Genomic DNA, 17109 nt, shown 5'->3' on the forward strand with positions numbered 1-17109 from the left:
TGCTTCTGTTTCCAGCGAAGCCAACAGATGACACTACTCCAATTTGATCAGTGCAAGAAAGTTGCAATATGGAGTAGTATTGGGAATATTTATCAGAGATTATTAAAAATTTACTTTTGATTATTTTGATATTCAAAGGGAAGGCTTCTTTGCCAACAACTCATAACTTGACTGGTTTAATCATTTTAGGGCATTTAAAGGGAAAACAACCATTAGGGTTTCAGAAAAATATTTAGCTTTTCTCTGATACTCCTCATAGAACATCATTACTCTGATACTTATAGGAACATTTATTTTTCTTACAATGCCCATTCACCTTCTCATGGAAAGTATGAGAAGATACATGAGAATCAATCCGTGTATCACTGTTAGGCCTCCTGAATGAAAAACAATTGGTGCAGACATTTCCCCAAAATTTTTGTTGGGGTTTAAGTCAACATATGAAAGCAAAACAAAGGAGGAAAGAAGGAAGGTAGGAAGAAAGTTAACAAATAACTTTCTAAAATGTAAATTTGTCTCCTGTTCTGTACCTTATAATGCGCTAATGCCTACATTATTGATGAACTACTTTGCTGTTGTACATGTTGTTCTTCAAAATATTGTAGCCATTAAGCACTATCGTACAATAATTTATTAACATCAGAAATGTAAGGAGAGCATGGCTATCCTAATCTTTTAATTTGGCAGATAATTTGTAAAATTAAATAGTCCTTTGGGATTATAGTACAAATGGGTAAGGAAAAAGGGTAGACATTACTTGAAACCAGGTAAACCTGTATTTCCATTATTTTTTAAAGCGTTATATTATTCTAATAAGATTGTAAAAATTTCCTAAATATTCCTGTGTTTTGTTTTTTTTTTTGCTTCCCCCTCATTCACCAATTGTGTCCTGTTAATAGGATACAGAGTGACACACTGCCACTTCCAAATCACATCTTTCATTGTACAACTTGTGAATTTTATTGGCTGGGCCAAAGTTCTTCTCTTTCTGAGTGTTTAATCTCCTTTCCTTCCTTCCTAAACTATTTTAAGAAGAACATCTCAGGATTCCACAACATACCTTTTTCCCCAACAAATGGAAGGGACCAAGTAAAAACATCCATGAAATTTGGAAGCCAGTATGGATGAGGAGAACAGTTGAATTGCCTGATATTCATAACATTGTTCTCATACTTCAATACTGCAGCTAAAAATAACCAAAAGAGGATGTTAGGAACACAGAACATATTTCTGCTTCTATGTATGGCTTTAGCTCATCAAGAAAATTCAACCATTTGACTGAAGTTCCAAAACATCCAGGCTCACACCTTAGGCATCCCAGAATGCTTATACAACTTATGGACTTAAACCTTACTCAGGGTAATATATAACTGCACAATATATGAATAATTAATATGTAATTGTGTAACAAATTGGAAAATATTTACACAAAATAGTTAATCCAATGTCTGTCAGGAACTGATTCAAGCTCCCCTTTCAGCCAAGAATACTTTGGTCTTAAAATTTGATATCTGATGACACTAATAAAAGTGGCACAGCTAAGTTTGACATAATAATCTCCTCAAATATTTGAATGAATTTATTTTTAAAAAGTAAAACTTCAATAGAACTCCCAACAGTTGTACAAAATAGTTTAAGTTAGATTGCTTTAATTTTTACTTTATTTTTTAAATTAATATAATAATTGTACATAATTATGGGGTGCATAGTGATGTTTTGACACATATAATGCACAGTAATCAGATCAGGGTAATTAGCTATACATTAAATACCATATCAAACATTTATCATTTAGTTGTATTTGGAACATTCAATATTCTCCTTCCAGCTATTTGAAATTATAATCTATTATCGTTAACTATAGTTACCCTATAGTAGACTGCTTTCTTGACTTAATAAAATAAAATGTTTGGATTGAATCCCACATAAAATAATGTGCTTCTATCTGACTCTATCCTTGATTTCTGAAAAAGATGTCCATCCATGACTCAGGAAGACAAATCTGCATGCTTCATGTCTCTGTGAGTACTTTCAATAAAGGAAAAGTCACCTGTTTTAATGAGGTCACCTATTCTATGGATAGACAATTTGAAGTTGCAGGAAATTCTCAGGTTGCATTTAAACCTGCCTTTACCAGTCACTGATCATGGTTTTGCTATGCATTTCATATTTAATATTTAATGTCATTCTGCTTCTGAATGACAGCCTTTTAAATATTAAATATGATACTCAAGCATACCTTCTTAGGCTTTGGCAAGATTTCATTTTTATTATCTATTCAGGGCATAATTTGTATTACATTAGAAGACAGTAACCAACAGATTTTATATGATATCATATGATCTTTTCTTGCTTATGTTATGGGGTTGAAAATACAGAAAAAGTAATCATTTCTTTACTTTTTTGTTTTTACTCAGAATGGATGCTCAGGAGCTGGAGACACATCTTGGTATCTGCCTTACAATCTTTTTCAAGCAAATTATTTTTATCCCCTTTCGCCCTCTTTAATATGACATGGCTTCTTGATGCTTTAGCTCAGCCTGCTCAACCTATTCTGAATGCATGCCAGATTGGCAATGTCTCTGTTAAAATGTGGCCCAGAAGTAATATAATCATCTAGGTTGGTTTGAACAGTGCAGAGTATGGGGAGAATATATCATTTTCTGTGGTGTGGATACTATATATATCATATTGTAGCCTAACAATATGTTGATGTTTTTAGCAGCCTGCATTTAACTAAACTTGTACTTGTGAATGGTAAGGCCTTTGCTTTGAATTGCTATTTCTGGCTGACCAACATGGTTCCAGGGAACATATAATCACAGACACTCTGGGGACAAGAAATGTAGATAGTGTAGGCAATACTGATATGAAGGTAGTTATCCTCTTCTTCCTGTGGAATACTAATTCCTGCATATATTTCTGTAAACCCATTCCCTTTTACATTGCTTTATCATTTATGCCATTAGGATACATTTACATGATGCTAAAAACATGCAAAATAAAAAAATCAAGGCAAACTATCATATCAATACTTTTGATCTTCAGTATGAAAAAGGTGAAGTATTTCCCATCTTTGCTAAGTGCTACCAGAGTTCTAGCTCCATGTAAAAGGTTTTTACTATTTCAGAACACTGAATGTTCACAGCAGAAATGCATCCTCATATCTTCAGATGAATCTTTAAGGCTCTAAATTGTCTTTTTGAAGAGTAATTTCTCCTCTAAGTTCCCCCACTTTTTATTAACCTTAGGTTGGTGGTATAGCAGGAGGAAGGAAAGTAAATATTATAATTAACAGTGCCCTGGAGGAAACAGACAGGCTTTATATAATAATCCGCACAACAAATCTGAGAAGCAGGTGTGACTGCCCTTATGTTACAAAGGAATTGTGGTTGAGAAATGGAGAAACTTGCTCAAGATCATGCAACCAGTAACTGACAGATCTCACTCATTATTTAAACTCAGCTTTTTCTGACACCAAATTCATTCCCTTTCTTTCATTCCCTGCTGTCTCTCATAAATTATAAATGTTTGAATTCTAGTCCTAGCTGTTATAATAATTTAACTTTGAATATGGATTTCATAATTAAAGAGGTTTTAGCTTTTGCCAAAATACACGTTTGAGTGAAACAGGATGCAATTTACAAGCAAGGGTAAGTCTCATCCAATAGATAAAACAGAAGTTCTGTTTTGCAGTTGGTGAGATAAAAGTTCATTTGACCTTGGCTCAATACAATTTACTTGAGTACCTACTGATAAAGCAAATATTGTTTTCAGATTTTATTTTCATTTATTTACTGAGTATCTGATATATGCCAGGCATTATGTGTGGCCCTTTACAAACATAATTACAAATCTTCACAATATTCCTCAAAAGTGGTTCTTATCATTTATATTTTGAAAATAAGCAAACAGAGAGGTTATCTGCCCACAGTCACACTTAGAAAGAGGTAAATCTCACTTTTGGCCTGAGTCTAAAGTCTCTGATCCTTCTAGTACATCATAATACACTCATCCTAATAGTATAAATCATTCAGTGTCTATCAAGTTTTGGACACACATTCTTTCTCCTTCCATGTTTAATCTCTTTAAAGAAGAGCACTGGACTGGAAAGCCAGGAGGCCAGACTACAAGATGGAATCTGTCACTAATTATTCACCAGACTAAGGTACTTAATATCTTTAAGTCTCAGTTACCTAACTACGTGGGTTTATAGATAATTTATAAAGTCTCTTCCAGATCTGAATGATGTTAACAAACTTCACTGTTAACAATGAAAGGCCTCATCACTAATGCAAAAAATAATATTCTCAGTAGTTCTATAGGTTATAAATAGAATTTATTTTTCTCTAGCTCAAAAAATCCTAAAATTAAAAATGAAACTACAACAATATGTATTCTTTTTTCTTCAGCAACACATTTATGCAAAAATACTTTTTGAATAACCTTACATTAGTAAGTTACTCAAAATTCTGATATTTTTGTAAAATAAATATATAACACAGAAATACATGAGAAAAAAAAACTAAAACAGTCCAAAATATCTGCAGTCACGAAATTCACAGTTAACGTTTCATCTTCCACCTCCCACATCCTCCGCCCCTGCCACCTGCCTCCGACTGTCATTGGGATTACAAAACCCAACTGGAGCCCTAACAGTGCGCTCTTCTCTGAAGTACTTGAAAGACGTTTATCTCCAGTACAATATAAATAATACAAATAGTTGTACTTCAATAATCACTCAAGACCACCTCCTGAGACCTTGTCTGAGAAACAGAGAAAAAAAGAACAAAAGTCTACTACCAAGGAGCTCCTTTATTCTACTGGCAATTCCACATGACCTCTTGTCACTTAACAATTGTAACAGAGAGACTGTGACATACATGCAGGCCTGACATTATTAACCATCATTCAGAGCACACCAGACACCACAGAAATAAATGCTCTTCTGTTGTAGTTGCAGGTATGAAGAACAGCTGGAAGGAAATTTGGTATAATGAAAAGAATACTAATCCCACGAATCTGGAAGACTGACTGCCAGTCCTTTTTCTGATGTCAAAATTACTGTCTTAAAGACAATCCACTCATTTTTATAGTACCTGTAGAACCCTGTGTTCAAAGACATGCTGTAAAAGATGTAAAATTAGTAATCAAGGGCCTGCTCCTACTTGGTGAATGGGGAAGGCGGACTGAACCTCGATTATTTCTAATAACACAACTGGTTCCCTGTACATAGTGAAGTCCAAAGAATAGAATCTCTATCTTAATCCACTGCTCTGTCTACCAAGCCATGTACTAAGTTGCCTGACCATATCCAAATCTGTAAAACAGGGGGTCTTTCTTACTTTAATTTGAAATTTTGATGAGACAAAAAAAAAAACAACTAGTATTTCATAAGAACATGAAAACATTTCGCAACATGCTCTCTACAATTTCCATCACCCAGGGAAACTAGAGACAAAGCAATGAATGACAAGAGTAGAAAGGCCTGTTGTGGGGTGGGGGGACGGGGAGGGATAGCATTAGGTGATATACCTAATGCTAAATGACGAGTTAATGGGTGCAGCACAGCAACATGGCACATGTATACGCATGTAACAAACCTGCACGTTGTGCACATGTACCCTAAAACTTAAAGTATAATAATAATAATAATAATAATAATAATAAAAAGCTTCTAATTAAAGACCAGCTATCAAAATTATTGCTAACAAGTGGTATTAACCAGTTTACCAAACCACACATGGACTAAGCACTTTTCAAGTGGGTGTCCAGAGGAATACAAAGTTCTTTTTCTGAAAAACCTGTAACTGTAATGATTCCAACATACTTCAGGCATTCTTCACACCACTAGTCCTGATTTTAAGACAGGGGAGAAGAGGTCAAAAGAATGAAAAATGACTTGAATTTTATTCCTGTTCTCACCCTTTTGCTACTGTCTTTCATCTCCTTATCTCTAACTGACCATCCTCTTCCACCTTCAGAAGATGGGAAAGAGGGAGAGAAAAGAAACAAAGATGAGAAGAAACCGAATGGGGGCATTCCAGAATCATAATCCATCCAGAAATAGCAAAAGCACAAATAAATTGCATAATAGACCCAGGATGTTTTTTCCTTCCAATTCTTCCACCCGCAGATGCCCTAGCAGAAAAACTAGCATCAGTGTGTTCTTTTGGCAAAGTCCTACCATCACGAAAGGAGGCATAATGCCTTGGTGGATAGAATTCCTGAAGCAGGACCCATGCAACTCATAATGTTCTATGGCAGCATTTGAAGATTATGCTGGTATGCTGCATGCAGGGGTTTTTTTAAATTCTGGGAGCCATGCTACTTAGTTTTCAAAAATCTGTATTTTCTCATAAAGATTACTTTTTGGGGGTACAATTTTCATTTAAGATTGTGTGAATATGCATATATGCATATTCACATATATGCATACTTTTCCGTAGTATATATTATAGCATTCATGAACACAGTCTCTACAATTCCTTCCATTTTAAAATCTGACTTCTAACTTCCACCTCCTTTTTTTCCCCTTCAATGTCCTAGTTCTTGCTGGATGAATTCTGTCTTCAAAAGATTATTTTAATATTATTAATAACTTAAAGGGAAATGTACTAATTCATGATGGTGACAGTATTTGGTGAGCAAGGACTGTATTCATAACTTTTACTCTTTAGATCATAAGCTTAAGTGAAAGTTATGTGTTCAAGTCACTTATGAAGATAGACTTCAAGCCTTAAATTTTTAGGTAATTTGACCATGATATTCTTCAGTATGGGAAAGTTAATGTTTATATTGTTTCATCCAGTACCTAATATAGGGTCTTTCACAGGCAAATTTTCAGTAAATGACTAAATTTTTCTGTCTTTATTTTTCAAGAGATGGGGTCTTGCTCTGTTGCTCAGGCTGGAATGCAATGGCACAATCATAGCTAACTGCAGTTTCGAACTCCTGGGCTCAAGTGATCCTCCTGCTTTAGCCTCCCAAGTAGCTGGGACTACAGGCACACACCACCATGCCTGGCTCATAATGACTAAATTTCAGCCAATCTGAAATATTTTGTTATTAGTGGATACAAATAGTAGGTATATATGACTTACTTGAAGCTATGAGAATTATTTTGTGTGTATCAAGGACACAGATATATGTTACTATATATAATCACTTTATGTCCATTCTAGCCCTTGCCCCACTCCTCTTACTCACTAGGTGGAAATGGAAATACATTCTCAACCTCTATATACTTTATATAACTTGTACATGCATCCTTCATAGTACCTACAACACCTTTTCAAACTTTGTTACAAGTCTCCTAAATAAAATACTCATATTATCTTACCTACATGAAGGGCAGAGATGGCAATAGATATTTCTGTGAAACAATATGAGGTAATCTTATGACTATGTGCATGTGTGCATGTGTGTGTACTGTTGAGCACTGAACAATGCAGTTTTGAACTGCATGGGTCCACTTATATGCAGATTTTCTTCTGCTTTTGCCACCCTTGAGACAGCAAGACCAACCCCTCTTCCTCTTCCTTCTCCTCAGCCTGCTCAACATGAAGAAGACGAGGATGAAAACTTTTATGATAATCCACATCCACTTAATGAATAGTAAATATATTTTCTCTTGCTTATAATTTCCTTCAGGACATTTTTTTCTCTAGGTTTTGTGTATTATATACTATAAGAATACAGAATATAACACACATAACATACAAAATATGTGTTAATTGACTGTTTATGTTATCAGGAAGGCTCTGAGCAACAGTAGGCTATTAGTAGTTAAGTTTTTGATGAATCAAAAGTTATATGTGGATTTCTGATTGCAGTGGGGGTTGGCACCCCTAACTTCTGTGTTGCTCCGGGGTCAATTCTGTATGTGTTTCCATTCTTGATATAGGGTTAGCAAATTCTTAACTAGGTTATTATTCATATATAGAATTTTGGGTAAAGTAAGTGGGAAGAAGACAATAGAAGGAATGAGGGAGGCACAGATCCCTTTTTTTTATAGTGTTATGTACTATATCTGGCATATGGTTGATGCTTAATTGTGTTGTTTGAAGAAAAAACCTAAGGAATGAAAATAGAAAATGGGAGAAGAGGGAAAAAGAGAGGAAAGAAACACAAAGCATATAACTAATCAGGATACTAAAAACATAACTAACAAAATATAAACAGAAATCTGAGGGAAACATAAAGCAATTCAGGTAAAAGGCAATGTGTCACCTCAAAGGCTAAACTGTTTTAAAATTGTAAGAGCATGTAAATTAAAGAACAGTGGAAAGGATACTAGTTCTGTCACATGGCAACTGCATGAACTTGGGCAAATATTTCTCCTTATTTAGTCTTTACCTTCCAAACTTATAAAATAGGAATAATATCTGCCCTCTCACTTTTAAAGTATAAAGATGAAATAATCCAATTGCTGAGAATGGGCCAGGGAAAAAAATAATACATATGATTAATATGCATAATAATCAGATGAAATATTTTGTCCCTGAGAAATGTATTATAAGTCTGTTTCAAATTCCTCAAGGCAGGCATGGCTATCTATTTTAAATAGTTTGCCATTTTATAATTCCCACCTAATGTGTTATACCTACATACTAGGATCCAGGGAATTTGGGGCTGATAATTGATCTTTGTATGTAGCTCAAGTCCAGTTAAACATTGTGAATCATTTCTAACATTACAATTTTGCATAGAGTATTTGAATTTCTTCTAGCAAATTTTTTTTTGTTAATAAGGAAGAAACATTGGCAATTATCAGTTCCTTAACAGTTTCAGCTAGTGAATTCATTTATGTTCTAATCTGTATTATAATAATGCTAAAGTGAGGCTTACACAAATCTAGACTAAAAACAGAGAGAGAGAGTCTTAGCTGAAGCTTTAAGCTGTTGGAGATGGCACGGGCATAGCAAACACTGTGCCTTCACCTTGCTCTCATTCAGTGCAGCTCCAAAAGCCTAATAAGGGTAACTGTACTCTGGTGGGAGGTATTTTGAAACTGGTGTTATCACTACACATTCGTAGAAGACCCTTTTCAACTTCAAGCTTGGACTTTGTATCAGGCCTTGAGCTATAGCTTGCAATGATTCTAGGTTATCTCCAAGATATCCTTGGCACTGAGTTAGTTTTAAGTTCCTACACTTCATATCAACATTGTTTTCCATGGAAATAATGTTATGACAGACTTTTTGACACTGTAAGAGTAAAGTCTAAGAGTCTCTTGCAGGTCTAGAATTCCTAGATAATGAATAGCAAGTGACAACCCATTAATTCAAGTTTTTAACATTCCTCAGATTGTTACTGTTTTTCTCTTGTTGAATGCTTTATAGAGAATGAGATTTCTAAAGAAGTAGGTTTTAGTTCAACTGAAGAATCAACTATCAGGGCTATCAGACAACGGAATTCAATACTTTAAGATGGATTTTTTGATTGACCCTTTTCAGCTGGTGGCAGAAGAGCACTTGGCAATGAATCTGTATGGAGGATTCAGCATTGACTCCTCCTTTGTTCCCTGGTAAGGTCTCCCCTAACTCTGACATCTGAAATCCTGTAATTCTATAGGCAAAGCTTTGTGAAAAGCAAGAATTACCTCACACACTGTGTCTTAACTTTGTTGAGGTTTCACAACTACTTAACTAAATTTACAATTAGAGAGTAGTGATTTTTAAGAAATCAAGAAGGTCATCTGTTGGCACAAAGATACAGAGATTATGTGTAGATTCATTCAATTAAAATATATAGTACAAGGAATCTTTCAATATTAAATTTTAATGGGATAGTTTATATTCTACCATCCCTTCCATTAATTAAATGTTTAAATGTGAGCAAGTGACTACTGGATTAAAACTAACCTATTTACAAAGTGGCCTCCAGCAATGACACTTTCACAGTGGAGCTGAATAAACAAAAGCAAAAGTGCTTTAGGGAATACATTTTAAAGGGAGAAATGAATTATTTATTTTAGAAAAATGTACAAGGTATTCTAACTTCATTCTTTTAATAATGCATGTATTTGGATGCATAACACTCAGGTAATTTTAAAGTGATAACAAATGACTCTTCATTTCAAAAGCTTTCTTTTCTTATTGAAGAATGGTTAGAGTCACCTAAACATAATGGAACCATGAGGTGAAGGGTGGATTAGTGGATCGTTCACAAACATTTCACACAACAAAGCTAAGGCAGAAGAGTACAGACAGAGGTTAATATATGGGCATGTGGGCTCTGCAGTCAGTCAGCTGAGTTTCAATCTCAGTGCTTTCTGGTATCAGCTTGTGTCAACCTTGGGAAAAATATGCAGTTCCTTTGTGCCCTAGATTTTCATCAATAATATCAAGATTATACAGTAATTCATAGGGTTGTTGAAAGACTAAATGCATTTATACACATAAACTCTGAGCAGTGTCTGGCACATAATAAGTGCTCAAAAATGTTAGTTATTATTATATGCTATTTATAGGAACAAAGTGAACAGCATAAGTATAGTATGCTATCACAACTGAAGGGAAATATTTATATTTGCTAAATATATAACCAACTGAAGATTTTAAAAAATATGGCTAACATAGTGAAACCCCGTCTCTACTAAAAATACAAAAAATTAGCCAGGCGTGGTGGTGGGTGCCTGTAGTCCCAGCTACTCCGGAGGCTGAGGCAGGAGAATGGTGTGAACCCAGAAGGCGGAGCTTGCAGTGAGCCGAGATTGAGCCACTGCACTCTAGCCTGGGGGACAGAGTGAGACTCCTTCTCAAAAAAAAAAAAAAAAAATTATATATATATATAAAGCTATATCACTCAAGGTGACAATGATAATGACAATGGTAAATGAAATTAATATTACAGTTGGATTAATTACACATATTGAATCTTGGATATAAAATGCAATGAGAGGAGACATTCTGTTGAAACCTCTCTGCAGTGAATTTTAATCATTCATCTCAGAGGGTGATTTTTCTAAAAGCCAATCAAAACTTCCTACCCTTGGGTTCTCTTCAGCCTTAAATGTTTACATAAATTTCTTTTCTACCACCATATATATATACGTGTGTGTGTGTGTGTGTGTGTGTGTATAGTGTATATACACACTTACATACTTTTTTTTTTTTTTTTAGATGGAGTCTCACTCTATTGCCCAGGCTGGAGTGCAATGGCGTGATCTCAGCTCACTGCAACCTCGGCCTCCCGGGTTCAAGCGATTCTTCCTCCTCTGCCTCCCGAATAGTTGGGACTACAGGTGCGGGCCACCACACCTGGCTAATTTTTGTATGTTTAGTACAGACGGGGTTTCACCATATTGGCCAGGCTGGTCTCGAACTTCTGACCTCATGATCTGCCCGCCTCAGCCTCTCAAAGTGCTGGGATGCACACGGCCTATGTACCACCTCATACTGATAATAAAAGAATACTAAGAGGTTTTGTTTGTAATTTCTACTTTATTCCTTCATATAAATTATTGTATTTCATAACATTTCTCAGTGAACTCTCTTAGGCTTAATAATCATTAAGAATAAATTATCTTCTAGTGTGTATGATTCTATCATACCCATATGGCTTTAAGAATCTTTATCAAATAAATGAAGGAATGAATTAGGGGTTGGGGGGATGTCTTATTGTTTTACTTTAGTCAAAAAACAAAAATAAAAAAGTAAAACAACCTTGGCCTACAATTACTAGAAAGTACCAAATATACTGCCCTGACTGTATGTTTACGTTTTTTATACTGCAGTAAGTGATCTGGGGCAAACAAGTGCTCAGGACCCATTAAGAGGATCTTCAGGTTTGAGATGATGGCAGGGAAAAAGCATATGCTGGGAAAACTGTTGTTACGGGGCAAAGTCTCTGGATTAATTTTATCCAACTTTTAAAGCAACCAGTGATCATATTTAACCTGTGGTTGTAAGGATACAAAAAAAGTGCTTTAAAAGTCAATACTAAAAGTTATGTCCATGCTTAAGACAAGCCTCAGGCTCGTAGAAATGGATCTTTGCTGTAAAATATGGTTCAACTTTGTAGGGGAGTGAGCTCTTTGATGTGCTGTGGTGGAAACAGATATGCTACTTGGAGACGCCTGGGTATAGATTCCACTTTCCTTTCGGAGACCCCTCATCTCCCTCTCAGAAAGATCTGAGCTAGCTGATTCTGAATTTGGCTTGTGAACCACAGGGGTAGCAGATATCTATAAGTTTGTGAAAAATATTCCTGAATGATAAAACAACCTCCTAGTGGAAAAAAATTGTGGTATAGTATGGAATGAGCTTCTGAGGTCTGGCCATACCACACTATGTAGACAGTGTCACTGAGGGTTCCCGCCAGAAGTCAGGAGACCAAGTCAAGCTGGCATCGGATATGTTACATCTGCTCCTTTCTGTTCACATCATGACTGCCAACAAAATTCTTATGTTGGTTCATTACAGCAGCAATTCCATTCTCTCTTACAATGGTATCTTCCTGCCAAGCCAGAAATTCTCTTTTTATTTATAAATGGTATCTTCTTGAAGCCTATGACTCCTTTTTGATTGGAAAATATATGAGGATATGGAAAACATCAAGAGTAAAATGCTTTTTATCAGCAATTATATCAAGTTGCTAATTTATGAGTCCAAAACATCATATTTTTCCCTATCAAAAAGGATAGACTTTTGCATCTCAGAATTTTAGCAAATGATGCTGTAGTAGTCTGTTCTCACGCTGCTAATAAAGACATACCTGAGACTGGGTAATTTTTAAAGGAAAGATGTTTAATGGACTCACAGCTCCACATGGCTAGGGAGGCCTCACAATCATGGTGGAAGTCAAAGGAGAAGCAAAGGCATGTCTTATATGGTGACAGGCAAGAGAGCTTGCGCAGGGGAACTCCCATTTATAAAACCATCAGATCTTGTGAGACTTACTCACTACTATGAGAACAGTATGGGGGAAACCACTTCCATGATTCAATTATCTCCACCTGGCCCTGCCCTTGACAGGTGGGGATTATTACAATTCAAGGTGAAATCTGGGTGGGGACACAGCAAAACCACATCAGATGCTTTCCATGTGCATCTTATAAAAGCAATTTTCTACCTCTCTCTTCCTTAACTACTTTAATATTGAATTGGTTTGTTTCTTGGTTATCATTTAAATGTTTGGTCTTGATTACTAAATTAGTTTCGTTGCCATTAGACTTTCCTCTCAAATCCAAAATAATTTTCATTTAACAAATTTCCTTAATTTTACTGTCAGTAGTGTGTACTGGAACTAAGTTACATACCCCTGGTATATATGTTTATATTTCTCTACATATGTATCTAACTACTCATCTAATCACCCGTCCATCCAACAACTCATCTGAACTACAAAGAACTTGTACCACATGGAAACCTACTGTCGTTTACTTTAGATTCTTTTGAAGCACAGGTGTACCTCTACAGAGAAAATGAATTCAAGTGTTTACATCAAGGTATAAAATACATTTTCCCAGAGGTTCATTGCAATTTTTGGCCAAACTGAGTTGTTTAAGCCAATGTTCACATCTGCCACTCTATTTCTCAATCCAGAGAGATTTTACTCTCACTGATTGCTTAAATGTCACTTCCCCAATTAGTCCCCATAGACTAATTTTCACTCTCATATCACACCACTCTTTTCTTTGTTGCTTTTTCCAAATACATATAAATAATCATTGGTGGAATTATTTATTTAATGTCTATCATACTACCAGATTATTAAGCACACTAGGTTAAAGACCATGTCTGTCTTGTTTCATTTATATCCCCAACACCTAGCATGGAGCTTGGTATATAGTAAGTTCTCAATAAAGGTTTATTGTATTGGTGAGTGGGTATAGTTAAAATCACTTTTACAGGGGGCAAATAATTTTTTTAAAAATTGAAGCTATGTGTCATTACTGTAATTTTCACCTGATTGGTGTATTTGAGTAATTAGGAAATAGGTTTTCCTTTAGGTCTACAGATTCACAGGAGAAAATTCAACAATCCAGATGTGCAAAGTGCTCTGCAAATGTTTAACTCCAATTTAGAAAGGGTATCAGCACTGGTTATAGGAGTGATTTAAAGTGAGATAAAGATCTGTGGGTCAATATTGATAGGATACTTCTGGTCACAGTCTTGCTGTTAATTCTCCAAAAAAAAAAAAAAATGCTTAAATCAATGCATGTATTGACTGCCTACCACGTACAAGGCATGCAACTTGGCTTTACAATGTGTACCAAAAAGCCTCATGTGTCAAACTAATTATAACCTCATTGGGAAATAACAGGAATGCATGCAAAAGCTAACAAGAAAAACGTAAACAATAAATACAAGAGAAAATGATTAGCATTGCAGACATTCAGAGAAGGACCACCAACAGAAGTCTTTATGGAAACGCAGACTGGAGTGGGTCTAGTCCACTTAGGCAGAAGAATGAGACAAATATTTTGGATAGAAATAAGTATGCAGGTGAAAAAGTGGAGAAACAGAAAGCCAAAGTTGCTCAGGGCAATGAGGTTTACTCCAAGATAAGCAGAGAGACAGGTGATAATGGTAGTTTCAGGCATATAGTGAAATTATAAATAAGAAACTGAGGAATAAGGGAATTTTCCTGCGAGCTTCTGTGAAGCTTTGCACTAACATGTGACAAAATAATAACAACATAAAATATTCAATAATGATAATGTCTTAATACTGCACAGCATTTTGTTTCAAAGCGATTTCATGCAGTATTCACAAACGAACATTTTTTCTCATCTCATAGCAATGCCACTGCATGTCCAATAAATTTACATGAGTTAGTTGCTTAATGGCAGAGCTGAGATTCAAACCTACATCTTTTGCTATGGCATCTTGCAGAGCTGTCAGAGTGAAGACACAGAGGCAGGGAGACAGGCAGGAAGACAGTGCAGACTGGAAAGGATGAGACTGAATGAATTAATGTGGGCTATACCAAGAGATGGAACATTTAGTCCTCATAACTTTCTGAATGCTATTTGTTAATTACAGATAAGTATGAACTACTAATAAGAAATACTGGGCATTTAAATATGAATCTGATCACAACTATTATTGGTTTTAAGATGGCAAGAATAAACCTATTTTTCTCACTGTTTCATTTTGCCAGATAGTATTACTGCTGTCTTAAGCTGCAGGAGCTTTAAGAATCAAATCATACTGTAACTAACAGGTTATAATTCCAAAGTACTTTATTATCATTTGCTTCTAACAATCAAATGGTTAACTCACAGATTCTCCACAGCTATTTTCCAATGATTGGGTTTTGAAGGTGCTTGCAATCCAATTTTATTACACTGCTTTTAAAAATTCTAGTTAACATCAATCTTATTCAAACACAGTAATTTTCACTTTAGCAGTGAATAATTGACTCCCACTCCCACATACTGTATACACTGTTAGTATAATAGCTTTAAAGTGCTTCAGAAATTTTACATAAAAGTCTTTTGAAATTTTGTTTAAACTAAAGAATACATCTTTCTCTTCCCTATCAGTTTATCTTTTTCTCTCCGGAGAATATTTTCTTTTATGAAGGGGTTCCCAAAATGAAACAGTTCTACTCCCTTTCCTGAGAGATTCTGATCTACCCCAAAGGCAAGAACACAGTGAAAGAACTACAAAATCTCAAAGTCAGTGATGCACTGGTATCTGTTTTTTTTTTTTTTTTTAAGTTCCAAACTTGTTAAATCAGAACTATACAAAAAGAAGAAATAGACACCTTATTTGAGAAATAGCTACTGGTCTCAGGCAAAACTGCATTACCTAGCATTATGAAGAATTGAAAGAGTCTAGGTTTGTTTTTGTGGAGTAAAATCCCAATTTTTATTCCGTTTTTACTGTTTTGGTTTTCTTTTTTAGAAACTGTTGGGAAACTTCTAAGCAGAGTACATGCTATTTAGTAATCAGTCTTTGGCAAGAAAATGACTTTTAGGGACATTTCCTTCCCTCAGTTTAATAGTAAAAAATCTTAATGCCATAGAACAATACACTCATGTTTATAAAAAATATATAAAAGCATACTTTATGTACTTTTGGTAAATTATAGGATCATGGTGAGACTGGGATATACAATATGACTTACTAAATTCCTGCATTCCCTGCAGGTATCTCAGGGTCCTTCTCTCGTGCAAGATTGAGAATCCTCATCCAGTCAAAGAGATTAGCTTTTATGAGTTTTATACAATAAATGTTTACTGCTTTAAAAATATTCATTGGCCCTGATACTATTTATTTCTCTTTCTAATCAAACATTCACTATTCTTTAACATCCAGATCATATTTTATCTTAAGGCCTTCTCTGACCATTCTAGAAAATTATCCCTTACCAAATGTATTTCGTGTTTGACTCTCTTTGTTTACACTTAATCATCTTGGGTCTTATATTTTTAGTTAAATTACCCAAATGTCTTACTTTGTCAACTCTACAGTAGTTTTAAAAATCAAATCATACTGTAACTATCAGCTTATAATTCTAGGGTCCTTTATGATCATTTGTTTCTAACAATCAAATGATTAACTCATAGGTTCTTCACAGCTATTTTTCCATTGATTGTGTTTTAAAGGTGCTTGTGACCCAATTTTATTGCAGTGCTTTTCAAAATTCTAGGTGACATCAATTTTATTCAAATACAATAATCTTCACTTTAGCAGTGAATCACTGACTCCCACTCCCACATACTTAAAAGCACGTGGCAAGCAGAGAACATGTTTTATTTTATTTTGCATTCTTCTTGCCATAGACTACTAATGGCAGCACTTCTTTTCTAGGAACTGCCTCCTTTCTTCCCCATGGTTACAACAAAAACTGCACTATGCCTTACTGATAACCATGCTCCTTCACTATAGAGGAGGACCCACTATGGTCAAAACGGCAATGTAAAAGACCGTATGGCAACAGCAAACACCATCCAGCAGATGTCATTCTCTGGGCTATGGGAAAGTGGAATACATGAAAGGAAACAAAGGACTAAGGACATTCAACAGGTGCTTGGGAATAAAGGTGGCCAAGGCCCATATTAGGCATCCTGGACACCAGGCCTGGGCCAGGAAGACACCCATCACACCTCATTTATGAAGGGGCATGGCTCCTAATTCCAGGAGTTTTCAG

At 35.3% G+C, this 17109-nt stretch overlaps 1 protein-coding gene across 3 annotated transcripts in view; it reads right to left on the reverse strand.

Moving 5' to 3' along the window:
• PPP3CA (protein phosphatase 3 catalytic subunit alpha) overlaps positions 1 to 17109 on the reverse strand; it is a 324109-nt gene that overhangs the window by 38754 nt on the left and 268246 nt on the right. For 2 of the 3 annotated variants that reach the window (NM_001130691.2, NM_000944.5), the window contains exon 9: positions 1061 to 1186. The exons of the other annotated variant lie outside the window; for it this stretch is intronic. In NM_001130691.2, the coding sequence (NP_001124163.1) occupies positions 1061 to 1186 (126 nt within the window). The remainder of the gene's footprint in view (positions 1 to 1060; positions 1187 to 17109) is intronic. 3 annotated transcript variants of the gene reach the window in all.

The sequence above is a fragment of the Homo sapiens genome, chromosome 4 (assembly GCF_000001405.40).
Source record: "Homo sapiens chromosome 4, GRCh38.p14 Primary Assembly".
Classification (NCBI taxonomy): Eukaryota; Metazoa; Chordata; class Mammalia; order Primates; family Hominidae; genus Homo; species Homo sapiens.